The sequence below is a fragment of the Homo sapiens genome, chromosome 20 (genome assembly GCF_000001405.40).
Source record: "Homo sapiens chromosome 20, GRCh38.p14 Primary Assembly".
Lineage (NCBI taxonomy): Eukaryota > Metazoa > Chordata > Mammalia > Primates > Hominidae > Homo > Homo sapiens.
In genome coordinates, this window is record NC_000020.11 from 38,504,683 (window position 1) to 38,519,871 (window position 15,189).

The following is a 15,189-nucleotide window of genomic DNA, read 5'->3' on the forward strand; positions in this document are numbered from 1 at the left end:
ACAGAGATCTAATATCCAGAATCTATAAGGAACTTAAAGCAATTGAACAAGCAAAAAACAACCCCGTTAAAAAACAGGCAAAAGACATGAACAGACACTTATCAAAAGAAGACATATAAGTGGCCAAGAAACATATGAAAAAATGCTCCACATTACTAATCATCAAACAAATGCAAATCAAAACCACAATGAGATACCATCTCACACCAGGCAGAATGGGTATTATTAAAAAGTCAAAAAAACAGTAGATGCTGGCAAGACTGCAGGGAAAAGGGAATGCTTATACTCTGCTGGTGGGAATGTAAATTAGTTCCAGCTACTGTGGAAAGCAGTTGGGAGATTTCTCAAAGAACTTAAAATACGACTACCATTCAACCCAGCTATCCCATTGCTGGGTATATATCCAAAAGAAAACAAATTGTTCTACCGAAAAGACACATGCACTTTTATATATTGCAGCACGATTCACAATAGCAAAGACATGGAATCAGCCTAGATGCCCGTCGGTGGTAGACTGGGTAAAGAAAATGTGGCACATATGCACCATGGAATACTATGCAGCCATGAAAAAGAATTAATTGTGTCCTTTGTAGCAACATGGATGCAGCTTGAAGCCATTATCCTAAGTGAATTAACACAGGAACAGAAAACCAAGTATCACATGTTCTTACTTATAAGTGGGTGCTAAACATTGGACATAAAACTCATGGACATAAAGATGACAACATTAGAAACTGAGGACTGCTGGTGGGGGAAGAGGAGCAGTGTTGAAAAGTCCAGATGATGGGATCATTTGTACCCCAAGCCTCAGCATCATGCAGTATACCCAGATAACCTGCACATGTACCTCCTGAATCTAAAATTAAAGTTGGAAAATTTTAAAAAGGGAAAGGATTATGACTTGGTGAAGGCACAGATAAATTATTAGCATCTTTCAGCAGTAAAATATTAATATTTTTAAATTAAGGATGTGCATTGATTTTTAAACATATAATCCTATTGCATACTTAATCGACTACAGTATAGTCCAAACATAACTTTTATATGCATTGAGAAACCAAAAAAACGTGCATGCCTTGCTTTTTGCAATGTTTGTTTTATTAGGGTAGTGTGAAACTGAACCTGCAAGATCTCGAAGTTATACCCGTATAACTCTAGATATAGATAAGGGTTCTTTAAAAAATATAATACCCTTATCACACCCAAAAAAGTTGACAATTCTTTAATACCGGTTAGCTAGTCAGTGTTCAAATTTCCAGGTACAATTGACCCTCTGTGGGTTCTGTATCCATGGACACAGCCAGTCAGAGATCAAAAATATTTGGCAAAAAATTTCACAAAATTCCAAAGAGTAAAAATTGAATTTGCCTTCTACTGCCTGAGTACTGCATCGAATCTGTGCAAATGAAGGGATGTGTATGCATTGTATTAGGTATTATAAGTAATCTTGAGACGATTTAAAGTATATAGGAAGATGTGTGTAGGTTATATGCAAATACTAAATTATTTTATGTAAGGGGGCTTGAGCATCCGTGGATTTTGGCATCTGAGGGGTGTTCTGCGTCAATCCCCTATAATTCTGAAGGACAACTGTATAGGTTCCTGCTTTTTTCTTTCCTTTTTTTTTTTGACAGGGTTTCTTACTCTGTCACCCAGGCTGGAATGCAGTGGTGCAATCACAGCTTACTGCAGCCTTAATCTCTTAGGCTCAAGTGATCCTCCTGCCTCAGCCACCTGAGTAGCTGGAACTGCAGGCGTGCACCACCATGCTTGGCTAATTTTTATATTTTTGGTCAAGATGGGGTTCCTCCATGTTGTCCAGGCTGGCCTTGAACTCCTGGGCTCGAGCAGTCCTCCTGCCTTGGCCTCCCAAAGTTCTGGTATTACAGGCCTGAGTGACCACGCCTGGCCTAGGTTTCTGCTTTATTTTTCTTTGCAATTTTTTTGTTGAAGAAACTGGGTTGTCTTACAGAGTGTTTCACATTTTGGATTTGTCCACATTGTTAATTACTATATTCCTCTGCCCCGCTGTATTTCCTATAAACTGGTAGTTAGATCTAGAGACTTGATCTCATTCAGGTTTGATAGGGGGCAAAGAGAGGGGGTGACAGGAACAAAAACTTTATAGGTAGTGTTATGTATCAGAAGGTAGACTTCTCTTTTTCTGAGTTAATGTTTAGATCTTTATTATTATTTAAACTAAAAAATGAAGCTTTGGAATATTTTGTTAATTCTAGTATATCACAGAGAACATGAATATTATGAATCTAGCCATGAGCGGTGGCTCACACCTGTAATCCCAGCACTTTGGGAGGCTGAGGCAGGATGATTGCTTTAAAAAAATTATGAATCTGTTTTTAAGTAATGCTTTTATCTTGATTATAATCACAGTACATGCTTATAATAGAAAATTTGGAAAATGTAGGGACAGATACCTATCATTCAGAGCCAACCCATGTTAACATTTTAATGTATTTTTTCCATTTAGTTCCCTTTTTAAAAATGCCAGTTTGAAATTATTCTATATAATATTATCTACTTTTTTCATTTGATGTCTGATTCTTGTCACTTTAGTTACACAAACTTTTTCTCATTAAATAGCTGTTGAGATCATATTTTTAATGGTTTTGTAGTTTTCCATTATATAATTGGAATTATAATTCATTTAATAATTTCCTTGTTATTGTTGTTGTTATTTTTGTTTTTTTGAGGCAGGGTCTTGCTTTGTTGCCCAGGCTGGAGTACAGTGGTATGATCAGGACTCATAGCAGCCTCAACCTCCCCAGGCTCAAACAATCCTCTCACCTCAGCCTCCCATGGCAGCTGGGAGCTACAGGTTCATGCCACCACGCCCAGCTAATTTTTGTATTTTTTGTAAAGATGAGGTTTTGCATATCGCCCAGGCAGGCAGGACTCAAGCTCCTGGACTCAAGTGATCCACTAGACTTGGCCTCCCAGAGTGCTGGGATTGGAGTGCAGGCGTGAGCCACTATGCCAGCGTTGTTTTTTTGTTTTTGTTTTTCTTTTTTTTTTGAGATATGGTCTTGCTCTGTTGCCCAGGGTGGAGTGCAGTGGCGCAGTCATGGCTCATTGTAGCCTCGAACTCCTGACCTCAAGCAATCCTCCCATCTTCCCCTGCTGTTTTGATATTTATGTTGTTCCCATTGTTTTATTTTAAAAATATTGGTGATATGAATGCTTTATACATAGTCTTTATATGTGAGAATATTATCTCTAGGTAGAGAATAATTGAGTTAAAGGGCTTTGAATAGTTTTAATACATTTAGAATATTAAGTAATTAAGTTGTTGAGTTATTTTTATGGTATGTCATAAATTCTAAACTTCATGTAAAACTATTATAACTTAGTTATATGGCAGAAATTTGCAGTGAGATGAATCTTTTAAAAAATTTACATATTGTATGATTATATAATTATATAAGTATAATTACATATATAAATAGCTATAATTTATAAGTAATATGCAATGTGTATATGTCAAACATATTACATATAAACATATAAATGTCACAGAAAGACATTTAAAAACTAAGATCACTGACAGCTGAAAAACACAAACTATAACTACAAAATGGGAAGAAATGATAAAAAATGATTAACATACCTAACCTATAAAAAGGTCATAAAGAATAATTCAGAATCACTGATACACAAGTAGAAAAATTAGGCTAGTCAAACCAGAAAGAGAAGAGATGCAAGGAAAAACTTTAAGAATCAGTTTACAACAGAATAAATGTCCCACAGAGCACATGGATGGGCCTGGAAGAGGGACAAGTAAAAAGTGATGAAGCTGAACTGAAGAGAATTACTATATAAAAGATAGGGACAGCAGGAAGTAACAGTATTTTAATACTAATTATTTTAAATTATTTAAGTATCTTAAATAATTTAAAACACTCTTTTTTTGGTATACTTGTTTATTTTACCCAAAAACTCATGTATCTTGTAAAGAAGATGCTGATAACAACACGTGTATTACATATAAAATATATACAACAGCATATACTCTTCTTCCCAGCTTCTTTCCATTAGAAATCATCTTGAAAGTCTCCAATTTGTTTTCAATGTAAAACTTCTTTTTAATGAACGCATAATAGTTGTACATATTTGTGGAGTACATAATGATGTTTTGATATATATATAAAAAATGTGTAGTGATTGATCAGAGTAATTAGCATATCCATCATCCCAAACATAAAAAAACTAGAAATCCTCTTTCAGTTTGTCTGTTTTATAAATGAGGGTTTCCATATGTCTTGTTCACGTATGTGAGGTACACATGTTTCATCCATTTTCTCTGTCTTCTTTCTATGCTTGAGTGTATTTTTCAATCTGTTAAGAAATGGACTCAGTGGTGTGCATTTATTTTCTAGATTGCTACGCTTTACATATGGTCCTTCATTTCCTGCATTTAAAGTTCCCGATGAAGATGCCAGTCTGATCCCTCCAGAAATGGATAATGAGTGTGTTGCACAGACATGGTTTCGCTTTTTACACATGTTAAGGTATTGTTATTTTATTATTTCATGTGCCATTTACCTAGTAAGTATCTTAGGGCAGGAATCATGCTGTAAGTCTCTTGTTTGAATTCAGAAGGTGGACACTAAGCCCCATTCATCAAATGGAATCCAGCTGGACAACAAGCACATTTCTGTCCTGTGCCTCCTGCTCTCCCCGTCCCAGCAGGGTTAGGCTGTCCTCAGCCGCTCTTGGTTTACACGCTCTAGGAACGCGTTCCCTGTGGTAGATGCCGCACTTGTTCTCTTGCCTGTTACTGCAGCCAGGCTGATGATCTTTCTCTTGGGATTTTGTCACATTCTGTGGGGACTGGAGGTTGCCTTGCTCCTCTCTGTGCCCAGCACTGACTGGTCAGTCTGCCTCTCAGAGCCCTCCTCCAATAGCCTGTTTAAAGTTTCAATGGGAGATACACCCTAAAATTTCACAGAGGGGTATACTGCTACTTCCTGCTGTCCCTGTCTTTTATATAGTAATTCTCTTCAGTTCAGCTTCATCACTTTTTACTTGTCCCTCTTCCAGCCCCATCTGTGTGCTCTGTAGAACATTTATTCTGTTGTAAACTGATTCTTAAATTTTTTCCTTGCATATCTTCTCTTTCTGGTTTAACTAGCCTAATTTTTCTATTTTGTGTATCAGTGATTCTGAATTACTCTTTATGACCTTTTTATAAGTTAGGTATGTTAATCTTTTTTTATCATTTCTTCCCATTTTGTAGTTACAGTTTGTGTTTTTCAGCTGTCAGTGATCTTAGTTTTTAAATGTCTTTCTGTGATCATTTTCTATTTCCTTTGTGTTCTTTGATCAGATAGTCACCTATGATTTCTTCCAATGTTGTTTCCTTTGTAATAGTAAGTTCTTTTATATACCTCAGGATCTGTCTTTATATGTATATAAACACACACACGCACATACACACACACACACACACACACACACACACACACAGACACACGCATGCATGTAATTTGCAGAGATGGGGTCTTCCTACGTTGCCCAGGCGGTCTCAAACTCCTGGACTTAAGCAATCCACCCACTTCAGCCTCCCAAAGTGCTAGGGTTACAAGCATCGAGCCACCGCACCCAGCCTGGAATTTGTCTTTAGTTCACATATTACTGCATTAAATTCATTTGTTTTTATATCAGATTCACACTCTTATTTTAACTTTATAATATTTACTGATATTTAGTAGGTCTAATGTCTTTTTCTCTTTTTCCTTCTCTTAGAATATTTATCTCTTCTTGCCTGTTTAACATTTCAGATCAATTTTAGAACCAATTTTTCAAGTTACAAAACATAAGCAAACAGAAGGAAAAACCTCAACGAAACCTTCTGGGGTTTGGATTGTGTATTATTTAGGGTAAGGAATATGTGCTGCTTTAGCAAATGAACTTGAAAATCTTTTATAGGGCCGGGCGCGGTGGCTCACGCCTGTAATCCCAGCACTTTGGGAGGCCGAGGCGGGCGGATCACGAGGTCAGGAGATCGAGACCATCCCGGCTAAAACGGTGAAACCCCGTCTCTACTAAAAATACAAAAAATTAGCCGGGCGTAGTGGCGGGCGCCTGTAGTCCCAGCTACTTGGGAGGCTGAGGCAGGAGAATGGGGTGAACCCGGGAGGCGGAGCTTGCAGTGAGCCGAGATTGCGCCACTGCACTCCAGCCTGGGCGACAGAGCGAGACTCCGTCTCAAAAAAAAAAAAAAAAAGAAAATCTTTTATAAAGTCTGGAGTCAGGACTGGCTCTGCTCACATAGTCGTTCAGAGACCCAGCTGGCAGAGGCTCTTTCATCTTCAACAGATGACTCCATTAGGGCCTCAGTGTTATAAGCAGGATTCTCGTATCTGGCTAGCAGATGGGGAACAGAGAGCAAGGAAAATTTTGTGGGAGGGTTTTATGTGTCAGGCCTTGAAGTAATATAAATCACTGTTACTCATATTCCATTAGCCACAACTCAGACACACACCACACTTAATTGCAAGAGAACAGAGAAGAAAAGAGAAAGTGGTGAACAGCTAGCCAGACTCTGCCGAAGATGAGAATTGTATTAAGCTTGTATTTATATTTAGGAAACGCTGATATCTGATATTGAGTCTGCCTTTCTTTTTTTTTTTTTTAATTTTTTTAGTATTTATTGATCATTCTTGGGTGTTTCTCGGAGAGGGGGATTTGGCAGGGTCATAGGACAATAGTGGAGGGAAGGTCAGCAGATAAACATGTGAACAAAGGTCTCTGGTTTTCCTAGGCAGAGGGCCCTGCCGCCTTCCGCAGTGTTTGTGTCCCTGGGTACTTGAGATTAGGGAGTGGTGATGACTCTTAACGGGTATGCTGCCTTCAAGCATCTGTTTAACAAAGCACATCTTGCACCGCCATTAATCCATTTAACCCTGAGTTGACACAGCACATGTTTTAGAGAGCACGGGGTTGGGGGTAAGGTTATAAATTAACAGCATCCCAAGGCAGAAGAATTTTTCTTAGTACAGAACAAAATGGAGTCTCCTATGTCTACTTCTTTCTACACAGACACAGTAACATCTGATCTCTCTTTCTTTTCCCCACATTTCCCGCTTTTCTATTCGACAAAACCGCCATCATCATCATGGCCCGTTCTCAATGAGCTGTTGGGTACACCTCCTAGACGGGGTGGCGGCCGGGCAGAGGGGCTGCTCACTTCCCAGACGGGGCGGCCGGGCAGAGGCGCCCCCCACCTCCCAGACAGGGCGGCGGCCGGGCGGGGGCTGCCCCCCACCTCCCGGACGGGGCAGCTGGCGAGTCTGCCTTTCTAAGAGCATGTCTTTTTCTTTTTTTAGAATTTTGCGTATCTTCTTGAAATGTTTTACAGTTTTCTTCACAAAGATTTTTAATATTTTCTTTACCATTATTTCTAGGTATTTGTTGCTGATGTTTTGAAAAGCTAACTCTTTTCTGCTATTCTGTCTTCTAGATGGTTATTACTGCTGTAAAGAACATTTTTTACTGCATGTTATTTTGCATATTATATATAGCATTTAAAAGAGCTCTGAATATTTCACTGATTCTTCTGAGATATGGGCACATATCTGCAAATAAGAAGTGTCTCTTTTCTAATAATTCATACTTGTTTTGGTGACTAATTAAAAGTACTTCGGATGCAGTAAGACTTGGACCTGACTTAAATTCTGCTAGTTTTTTCTTTGTGAACTTGAGCAATTTATTCTCTCTGTGCCTCAGTTTCTTTTTAATCTACATAATGGGAATAATGATAGTACCATCTCGTTATAAGTATTGAAGAAGAAAAAGCATGTAAAACGGCATGATGCCTAGTGCATGGTAGGTGCTTGAAAGTTGCTATTATTACAGTTATTTCTGTATATTATTTTACTGCATCCATCAGAAGTAGAACACTGTTGAATTAAAGTGATACTGTTTTGGCACCTTTTTTGGTCTGATTTTCATCGGAATGCCTCTGATATATGGAATTTTGAGTAGGATGTTGGTTGTTGATATTAGATGTTCTTTTTTATGCTCCTGGTTTCCTAAGCAGTTAAAAATTTTATTTATTTTTATTTATTTATTTTTTGAGATGGAGTCTCGCTCTGTCACCCAGGCTGGAGTGCAGTGGCGCAATCTCTGCTCACTGCAAGTTCCGCCTCCTGGGTTCACGCCATTCTTCTGCCTCAGCCTCCTGAGTAGCTGGGACTACAGGCGCCCACCACCATGCCTGACTAATTTTTTGTATTTTTTAGTAGAGACGGGGTTTCACCATGTTAGCCAGGATGGTCTTGATCTCTTGACCTCATGATCCGCCTGCCTCGGCCTCTCAAAGTGCTAGGATTACAGGCTTGAGCCACCACGCCCGGCCAGCAATTAAAAATTTTTAAAAATATAGGCCAGGCACGGTGGCTCACGCCTATAATAATAGCACTTTTGGAGGCCAACGCGGGTAGATCACCCAAGCTTAGGAGTTCGAGACCAGCCTGGGCAACATGGTGAAACCCTGTCTCTACTAAAAATACAAAAAATGGGCTGGGCGTGGTGGCTCACGCCTGTAATCCCAACACTTTGGGAGGCCAAGGTGGGCGGATCCCTTGAAGTCAGGAGTTCGAGACCAGCCTGGCCAACATGGTGAAACCCTGTCTCTACTAAAAATACAAAAATTAGCTGGGTGTGGTGGCACATGCCTGTAATCCCAGCTACTTGGGAGGCTGAGGCAGGAGAATCGCTTGAACCGGGAAGCAGAGGTTGCACTCCAGCCCGGGCGACAGAGCGGCGGCGGTGGGGGGTGGGGGGGAAGCAAAAAACAAATTAGCTGAGTATAGTGGTGCACCTGTAATCCTAGCTACTCAGGAGGCTGAAGCACAGGGATTGCTTGAACCCGGGAGGCAGAGTTGCAGTGAGCCAAGATCATACCACTGTACTCTAGCCTGGGCAACAGAGCAAGACTGTCTCAAAAAAAAAAAAAAAATTAAATTAAAATATAAATAAACTATAGTACCGAATTGTTTCGAATAATATTTTTGGATCCATTTAAGCAATTAAGTGGTTTTTCTTCTTTCATCTGTTGATGTGAAATATTAATTAATTTCCCAATGTTGAACCATCTATCATTCCTGAAAGAAAAGTTTTGCTTGGTTATGGAATGCTTTTCTTTTAATGTTTTTCTGAATTGTCTGTAGTTCTATCTTTTCATGAATTGGATAGGAAAACTTTCTGTCCTTTTTTATGGTCTGTTGTGTCAAAGTTTTGTGTTCCTTAAGAGTTTGAAATAAATGAACAGTAAAACTCTAGTCGAGTCTTTTTTAGAGGTAGTACTTAGATAGTCTTTCTTCTTGAGCTGACTGTGGTACTTTAGTCAGAGTTATTTTGGATGGCAAAAAGAGGAGCCAACTTAAGCAAATGCAGGTGAGAAAAAGAGATTATGTGAAGATAGAGCAGTCTTACTAGGCTCCATGAAGCAGCGAACAACCCTTTCTCATGTTGGGGAGGGATGAAGGCAACCTCGGGACAAGCCACTCTGTCATTTGTTTCTCTTTGCTTTTTTGATTCTCTTGTGCATGCACATTGTTCTTTCTCCAGCAGGCTTGCTCCTGGGTCCCTTTTTCCTCCTGCCTTTGAGAGGGGGACATGCAGTCTCTTGATAACTGCCCAGTGGTGTAAATAGCTGTGATACTGTTTGACTTCAGTGTTTGTCCTTTCAGTTCACGGGGGCTTTCCCTTTGCTTAGTTTCTCCAAAGGGAAAATTGGATCAAATTATCTTCGTTAATTAGGTCTCTGGCAGGCATCTGGATACCTCCTTTAGGACAGTTTTACCTCCTTTCTTAAATGAGCTGCGACTGGGTAGAAGGCAGGTCATGAGGATTTTTTATGATTGTGATTATTTGTGATTGTTGGCAGATTTCCTAGGATGAAGGTTGAATATGATGGGGAGATAGGCATCAACATTTTGTCTTGTGTGTTAGTGATTTATCTTTTTCCAGGAAAACCAAAAAATATTTTTCATTTTTGTTTCCATACTGTTGTCAAATGCTTGTCTTTGGACTTGTGTATGCCCACCTGCCCTTTAGGCCCCATCTGGAGATTGTTTCAGTAAATTTAGGTCTAATCTGGATTTTTTAACAGGTTCCCCAAATGTGTCAGGTACACGGGGCATTGGGAACTGCAGGAATGCAGTTGCTTTTAGTTTTTCATATCCTTTGTTACCCATTCTTATTTCAAGTTTTACTTACTTTCTTGAGTCTGTTCTCTAAATATTTGGGAGCCAATAAAATCATTCCTGGTTTACCTCTGGAGAAGCTGGTATGAATCTTTCTCTCTCCAGTTTTTGATTTACAGTAGACATGAATTTAGCCAAGCTCTGTGGGACTTAGGTGTAGTTCCATTTCAGCTTTACTCCTTGTTCTTCTAATTTCTGAATAGTTGAACTACAGCCCCCAGCAGGCACTGCTGCTGGAGACGAATCTCCCTTCCTCTGTCTTACTTGGTGGACTAGTCCAGTTCTATGGAAACAGTGTGCTACCACTGGAAGCCCATTTTTCTTACATGCACACACGTTCTCCTTTCCGCAATTACAGTTACTTGAAATTAAGTCTTTTGGTGGGTGGAAAAAGAGGTTTTGAAAGGCAGAGCATGTATAGATCACTGATTCCTATTTCTCAGCCTAGTTCTTTTGCCTTGTAGCTAGTGGAAATTCTGTTTACCGGCTTTAGATTATCAGTATTACTTTGAATTGGAGAGGCTTTTTAATGGAATGCTAAGCAGACCATTTGAGTGAAAAATCATAATCTGTTTTTTAATGGAAATATTTCAAACTGTTTGTACATAAAATGTAATTCAAACACAAATACACCGTTTTGAAATTTATGGCTTTAGTACATACACATGAACACAACATAAAACTATTAACACTAATCCTGATTTTCAAATATAGTTGTTTTTTTTTAATTGAAAATGTTAATATTAAAGTAAAATTTTCTCCTTGGAGCTTTTGTTGACATATTTATAGCTTTACCATTCCATTGCTTTTTCTTTTTTTCTTTTTTTCTTTTTTTCCTGAGATGGCATGTTGCTCTGTTGCTCAGGCTGGAATGCATTGGCATGATCATAGCTCACTGCAGCCTCGGCCTTGAACTCCTTGGCTCAAGTGATCTGCCTCAGCCTTCCAAGTAGTTGGGACCATAGGCACGTGCCACCATGTCCATCTATTGCTTAATTCTTAACATATTAGAAAAAGCATCTATGTATACTCTCAAAATTAAAATTTTTTCTAGTCTTACTTTGATTCTCATGCTTGGAGTAGGCAATGTTCATGTAACCACACTGCAGATCTTCTGTAAAGAAGTGTTGAGATTTGAATCGCTGGCCCATTAAATACAAATCAGTCTCTTTTCTGAATCAGAGAAATAGGCACAGTCCTATTCTTAAATTAGATTACGTGTATTTTATTGCTATAGAAATTTCTAAATTTGTGATTAATTCTTTCCTCTCTTTTAATAGTAATCCTGTGGATTTGAGTAACCCAGCTATTATAAGCTCTACTCCCAAATTTCAGGAACAGTTCTTGAATGTGAGCGGAATGCCGCAAGAATTGAATCAGTATCCCTGCCTTAAACATCTGCCTCAAATATTTTTTCGTGCCATGCGTGGAATCAGCTGTCTGGTGGATGCATTCTTAGGTGAATTTTGTGTATGTTGCTAGATGTATGAAGAGCTTCATTTAGATAACTCTAGAGGCTAACCCTAGGAGTTATTAGAAAACATCCGAAGGAAAAGATGAACAGATTTGATGACAAATAACAAGCGAGGAAAAATTATTTGCAACAAATAAAATAGCCAGAGGGTTATCGTTTCTATGTAAATATTTAGATTGGTGCAAAAGTAATTGCGGTTTTTGCCATTAAAAGTAATGCGGCCAAAACTGCAGTTACTTTTGCACCCACCTAATACATCAAACAAAGTGCTAAGAACAAGAATTAGGCCTAGTAGATAAATGGACAAAGGATAAGAGTAAATGATTGCAAAAGAAAAGAGTGTTCATGCATACTAGCTATCCAGGAAAATACAGATGAAAATGCATTTGGGACCATTCTCATGTATATCATTAAAAAGCAAATTATACCTTTAGTGAGCCATTCTTTTAAGCTGTTTTTCACATTTTAGATATATGAAAAGTCAATTTTTTAACCTGTTGAAAGGCAGTGATTTATAATATTTTCTAAAATATTTATGTATACTTATTAATGTACAGTTAATATGTTAGCTCTGATTAAGTTTGGCTGCCACGTAACAACCAAAAATCCTATTGTAAACAAGATAGCTTATTTTCACATATGTTAAATCTAGGGCTAGGCAGTGTAATGGTTCCATCACCAGCAGGGATCCAAGGCCCTTCCATCTGGTGGCTCTCCATTCTTTGCACAGTGCCTCATGGGCCATGATGGTTGAGTGAGTTCCAAACATCCTGTCCAGGAATTAGGAAGGAAGGAGAGTCTGCATATAATTGGTCCTTTAAGAAGATCTCTTAGAAGACCTACCCAACAGTCACCAACTTCTTTATGGTCAAAATATGGCCACATCTAGGTGCAAAGGGAGTTTGAAAATTGAGTCATTTTTTTTCTGGGTAGCCATGTCCATCTAAAGTTTGTGTTCTGTTACTCAGGAAGAAATAGTGAGTAGATACTGAGAGGCAACTAGCAATCTCTGCTATAGTCTATGTGTCCCAAGCCTTCACTAGGTTACTGGGAGAAATTTTCTGATCATATATTTTGACCTATGAAGAATAATTTCATTTGTCTTTTTTTTTTTTTTAAGGTATTTCTAGACCCCGATCAGACAGTGCTCCCCCAACACCCGTGAATAGATTAAGTATGCCTCAAAGTGCTGCTGTCAGTACCACCCCCCCACATAACCGGAGGCACCGGGCTGTTACTGTGAATAAGGCCACCATGAAGACAAGCACAGTAAGAGTTTACATCACCATTGTTATGCTATATAAGGTTGGCTTTTTAATCTGCCATTCTTTTTATAAAGTCTTGCTATTTTCTCAGACTTTTCATTGGTATGGGTGTATTCTTGTGTTCGTCTAATAGGTTAGTACTGCTCATGCCTCTAAAGTTCAGCACCAGACGTCCTCCACCTCTCCTCTGTCAAGTCCAAATCAGACTAGTTCAGAACCCCGGCCACTGCCTGCCCCTCGGAGACCAAAGGTTAACAGCATCTTGAATCTCTTTGGATCATGGTTATTTGATGCAGCATTTGTTCACTGTAAACTTCATAATGGGATAAACAGAGACAGCAGCATGACTGGTAAATATTACTCAAGAAATATGTTATCATTATTTTCCTTTTCCTTTTTCTTTTTCTTTTTAGTCTTTCCTACCTGCAAGATTAATATGTATCTTAAAAAGCTCTCTGTTTCTGACCAAGCAATGTCTTGTGCTTAACCCCTTCCAGCTGAAGTAACAGAACTTAAGAAGTTTTCCTCCCTGTTCTTTTTATGTATGTTCTATGAGGTTTGGCCTTTTGTCTGGTTTTATTAGACATACTTAAGGTTAGTCACATTTTGTTGAATCAGATTTCTTTCAGTAGGTGACCTGGAAGTTCCCTTCATGTCAGCCAGGATAATAAAATTTATATAAAGAATTAAAAATTCGAACTGGAAATTTACAAGAAGTGTTTTCGATTTTGACAGCCATTCACTCATTAGTATATGTAAACATCAGAAAATTTTTGCTTCACACTACACTCTGACCTCTCAAATTTTAGTCTAGAGAACTTTATTTCAAGGGCACACTTTCAAAAATATTATTTGCTTTTTAACTTAATAAAATTGATTGGTGGAGAATTAATAACTCAACCCTGATATCTTCATTTAGATTTTATTATAAAAAGGAAACTGTCTAAGAGCTGGTGGTTTTTTTTGTCATCTTAACTATTATATTTGAAAGTAATGGCATAGGGTGCAGGATGGATGGGTGGGGTAGGGCACAATGTTTTGAATATTTATAATATGTCTTAGAGAGCTGAAAAATGACAATGGCTGGCATTTATTGAGCTGCTGTTACTATTGGCCAGGTACTGTGATATATGCATTAATGAGTGTATTGATTGTTTGGTAAGAAACCACTCTTCTACTGGGGTTGGAAATAGATCAAGACAAAAAGATGTCTAATTAGTTTATGTATCTCTAGGGAGACTGTCAGTTCCAAGGATAAAACTAATACAATGACCAGAAGGGTCTCTGCTTTCTCTCAGAAATGAATTCTTAGCTGTTACTATAATTCTTAGCTATTATTATTATCATCTCAGAACTAGGATCTATGTCTGTGAACATTATACTCGTAATTATTTTGAATATTCTTACAAATCTTTAATTTAGAAAAGTTGTGAATATAAAGATTTTTGGGAATATAATTTGAGAATGCCATGGTTGAGTTTAGGGATGTCTTTGCTTGCTTTATTTTGTTCAAATTCAGACACTTTATATTCTTCCATTTTCATATTATAATTTTATCCACAATTTGAAAGTAGTGCTTCTGGGATAGGTAAATGTGCTTACTTACAATAAGTGAAAACTTTAAAAAAATGACTATTGGGTTATTCTTGTCTTTATGTTCATGTACCTTGTATTTTGAGTTTTCTGTACCATGTTTATATTTATTAATTTGCATTTTCTAGAATGAATCAGTCCTATTTTTCTTTTTTCTTTTTGTTAAGATGTAATTCTTACAATGTAACTTTTGGGTATAGAGCTGTTGACACTGAAATCTGTGAATCTAGAATGGCTCAACCTGTTGCTTGGTTGGTGGGCTTGCTTAAAGGGAACTTATAGATCTTTTTGCTCTCCAGGGAGTTTGTAACAGCTTTGCTCACCCTCTTGCACCAGAAGATAAAAACCAGACTTCAAATCATACGTGAACAACATCTTACTTTAAAATTTTTCCTTGCTGGGGAGAGGATAGAAGCTCCTTTTCTCCTCATTGTGTTCAGAGATGATAAAGGCTGTTACATTACCCAGGAGATATGAGGTGTCCAAATAGTTAAAGGGGTTAGAATGCTAGGTGCCAATCTTGAGGTCTCAAGTCTGGTGGGAGGCATGGGTATATTAACTGTTTTTTAAGTACTGGCTGCCATCAAGGAATTCTGCCATGCAGTTCACCTCTAACTTAAAGTGTTTG

General features: G+C 38.2%; 1 protein-coding gene and 1 non-coding gene across 12 annotated transcripts in view; both read left to right on the forward strand.

Annotated features, from left to right (window-relative positions):
• RALGAPB (Ral GTPase activating protein non-catalytic subunit beta) overlaps positions 1–15,189 on the forward strand; it is a 106,016-nt gene that overhangs the window by 31,840 nt on the left and 58,987 nt on the right. For all 11 annotated transcript variants that reach the window (NM_020336.4, NM_001282918.2, NM_001282917.2 and 8 more), the window contains 4 exons: positions 4,395–4,526; positions 11,510–11,688; positions 12,824–12,972; positions 13,102–13,318. In NM_020336.4, the coding sequence (NP_065069.1) occupies positions 4,395–4,526; positions 11,510–11,688; positions 12,824–12,972; positions 13,102–13,318 (677 nt within the window). The remainder of the gene's footprint in view (positions 1–4,394; positions 4,527–11,509; positions 11,689–12,823; positions 12,973–13,101; positions 13,319–15,189) is intronic.
• On the forward strand, positions 11,881–11,950 carry MIR548O2 (microRNA 548o-2). The gene has a single exon (NR_039605.1). It is a non-coding gene; the product is annotated as a microRNA 548o-2 (primary transcript).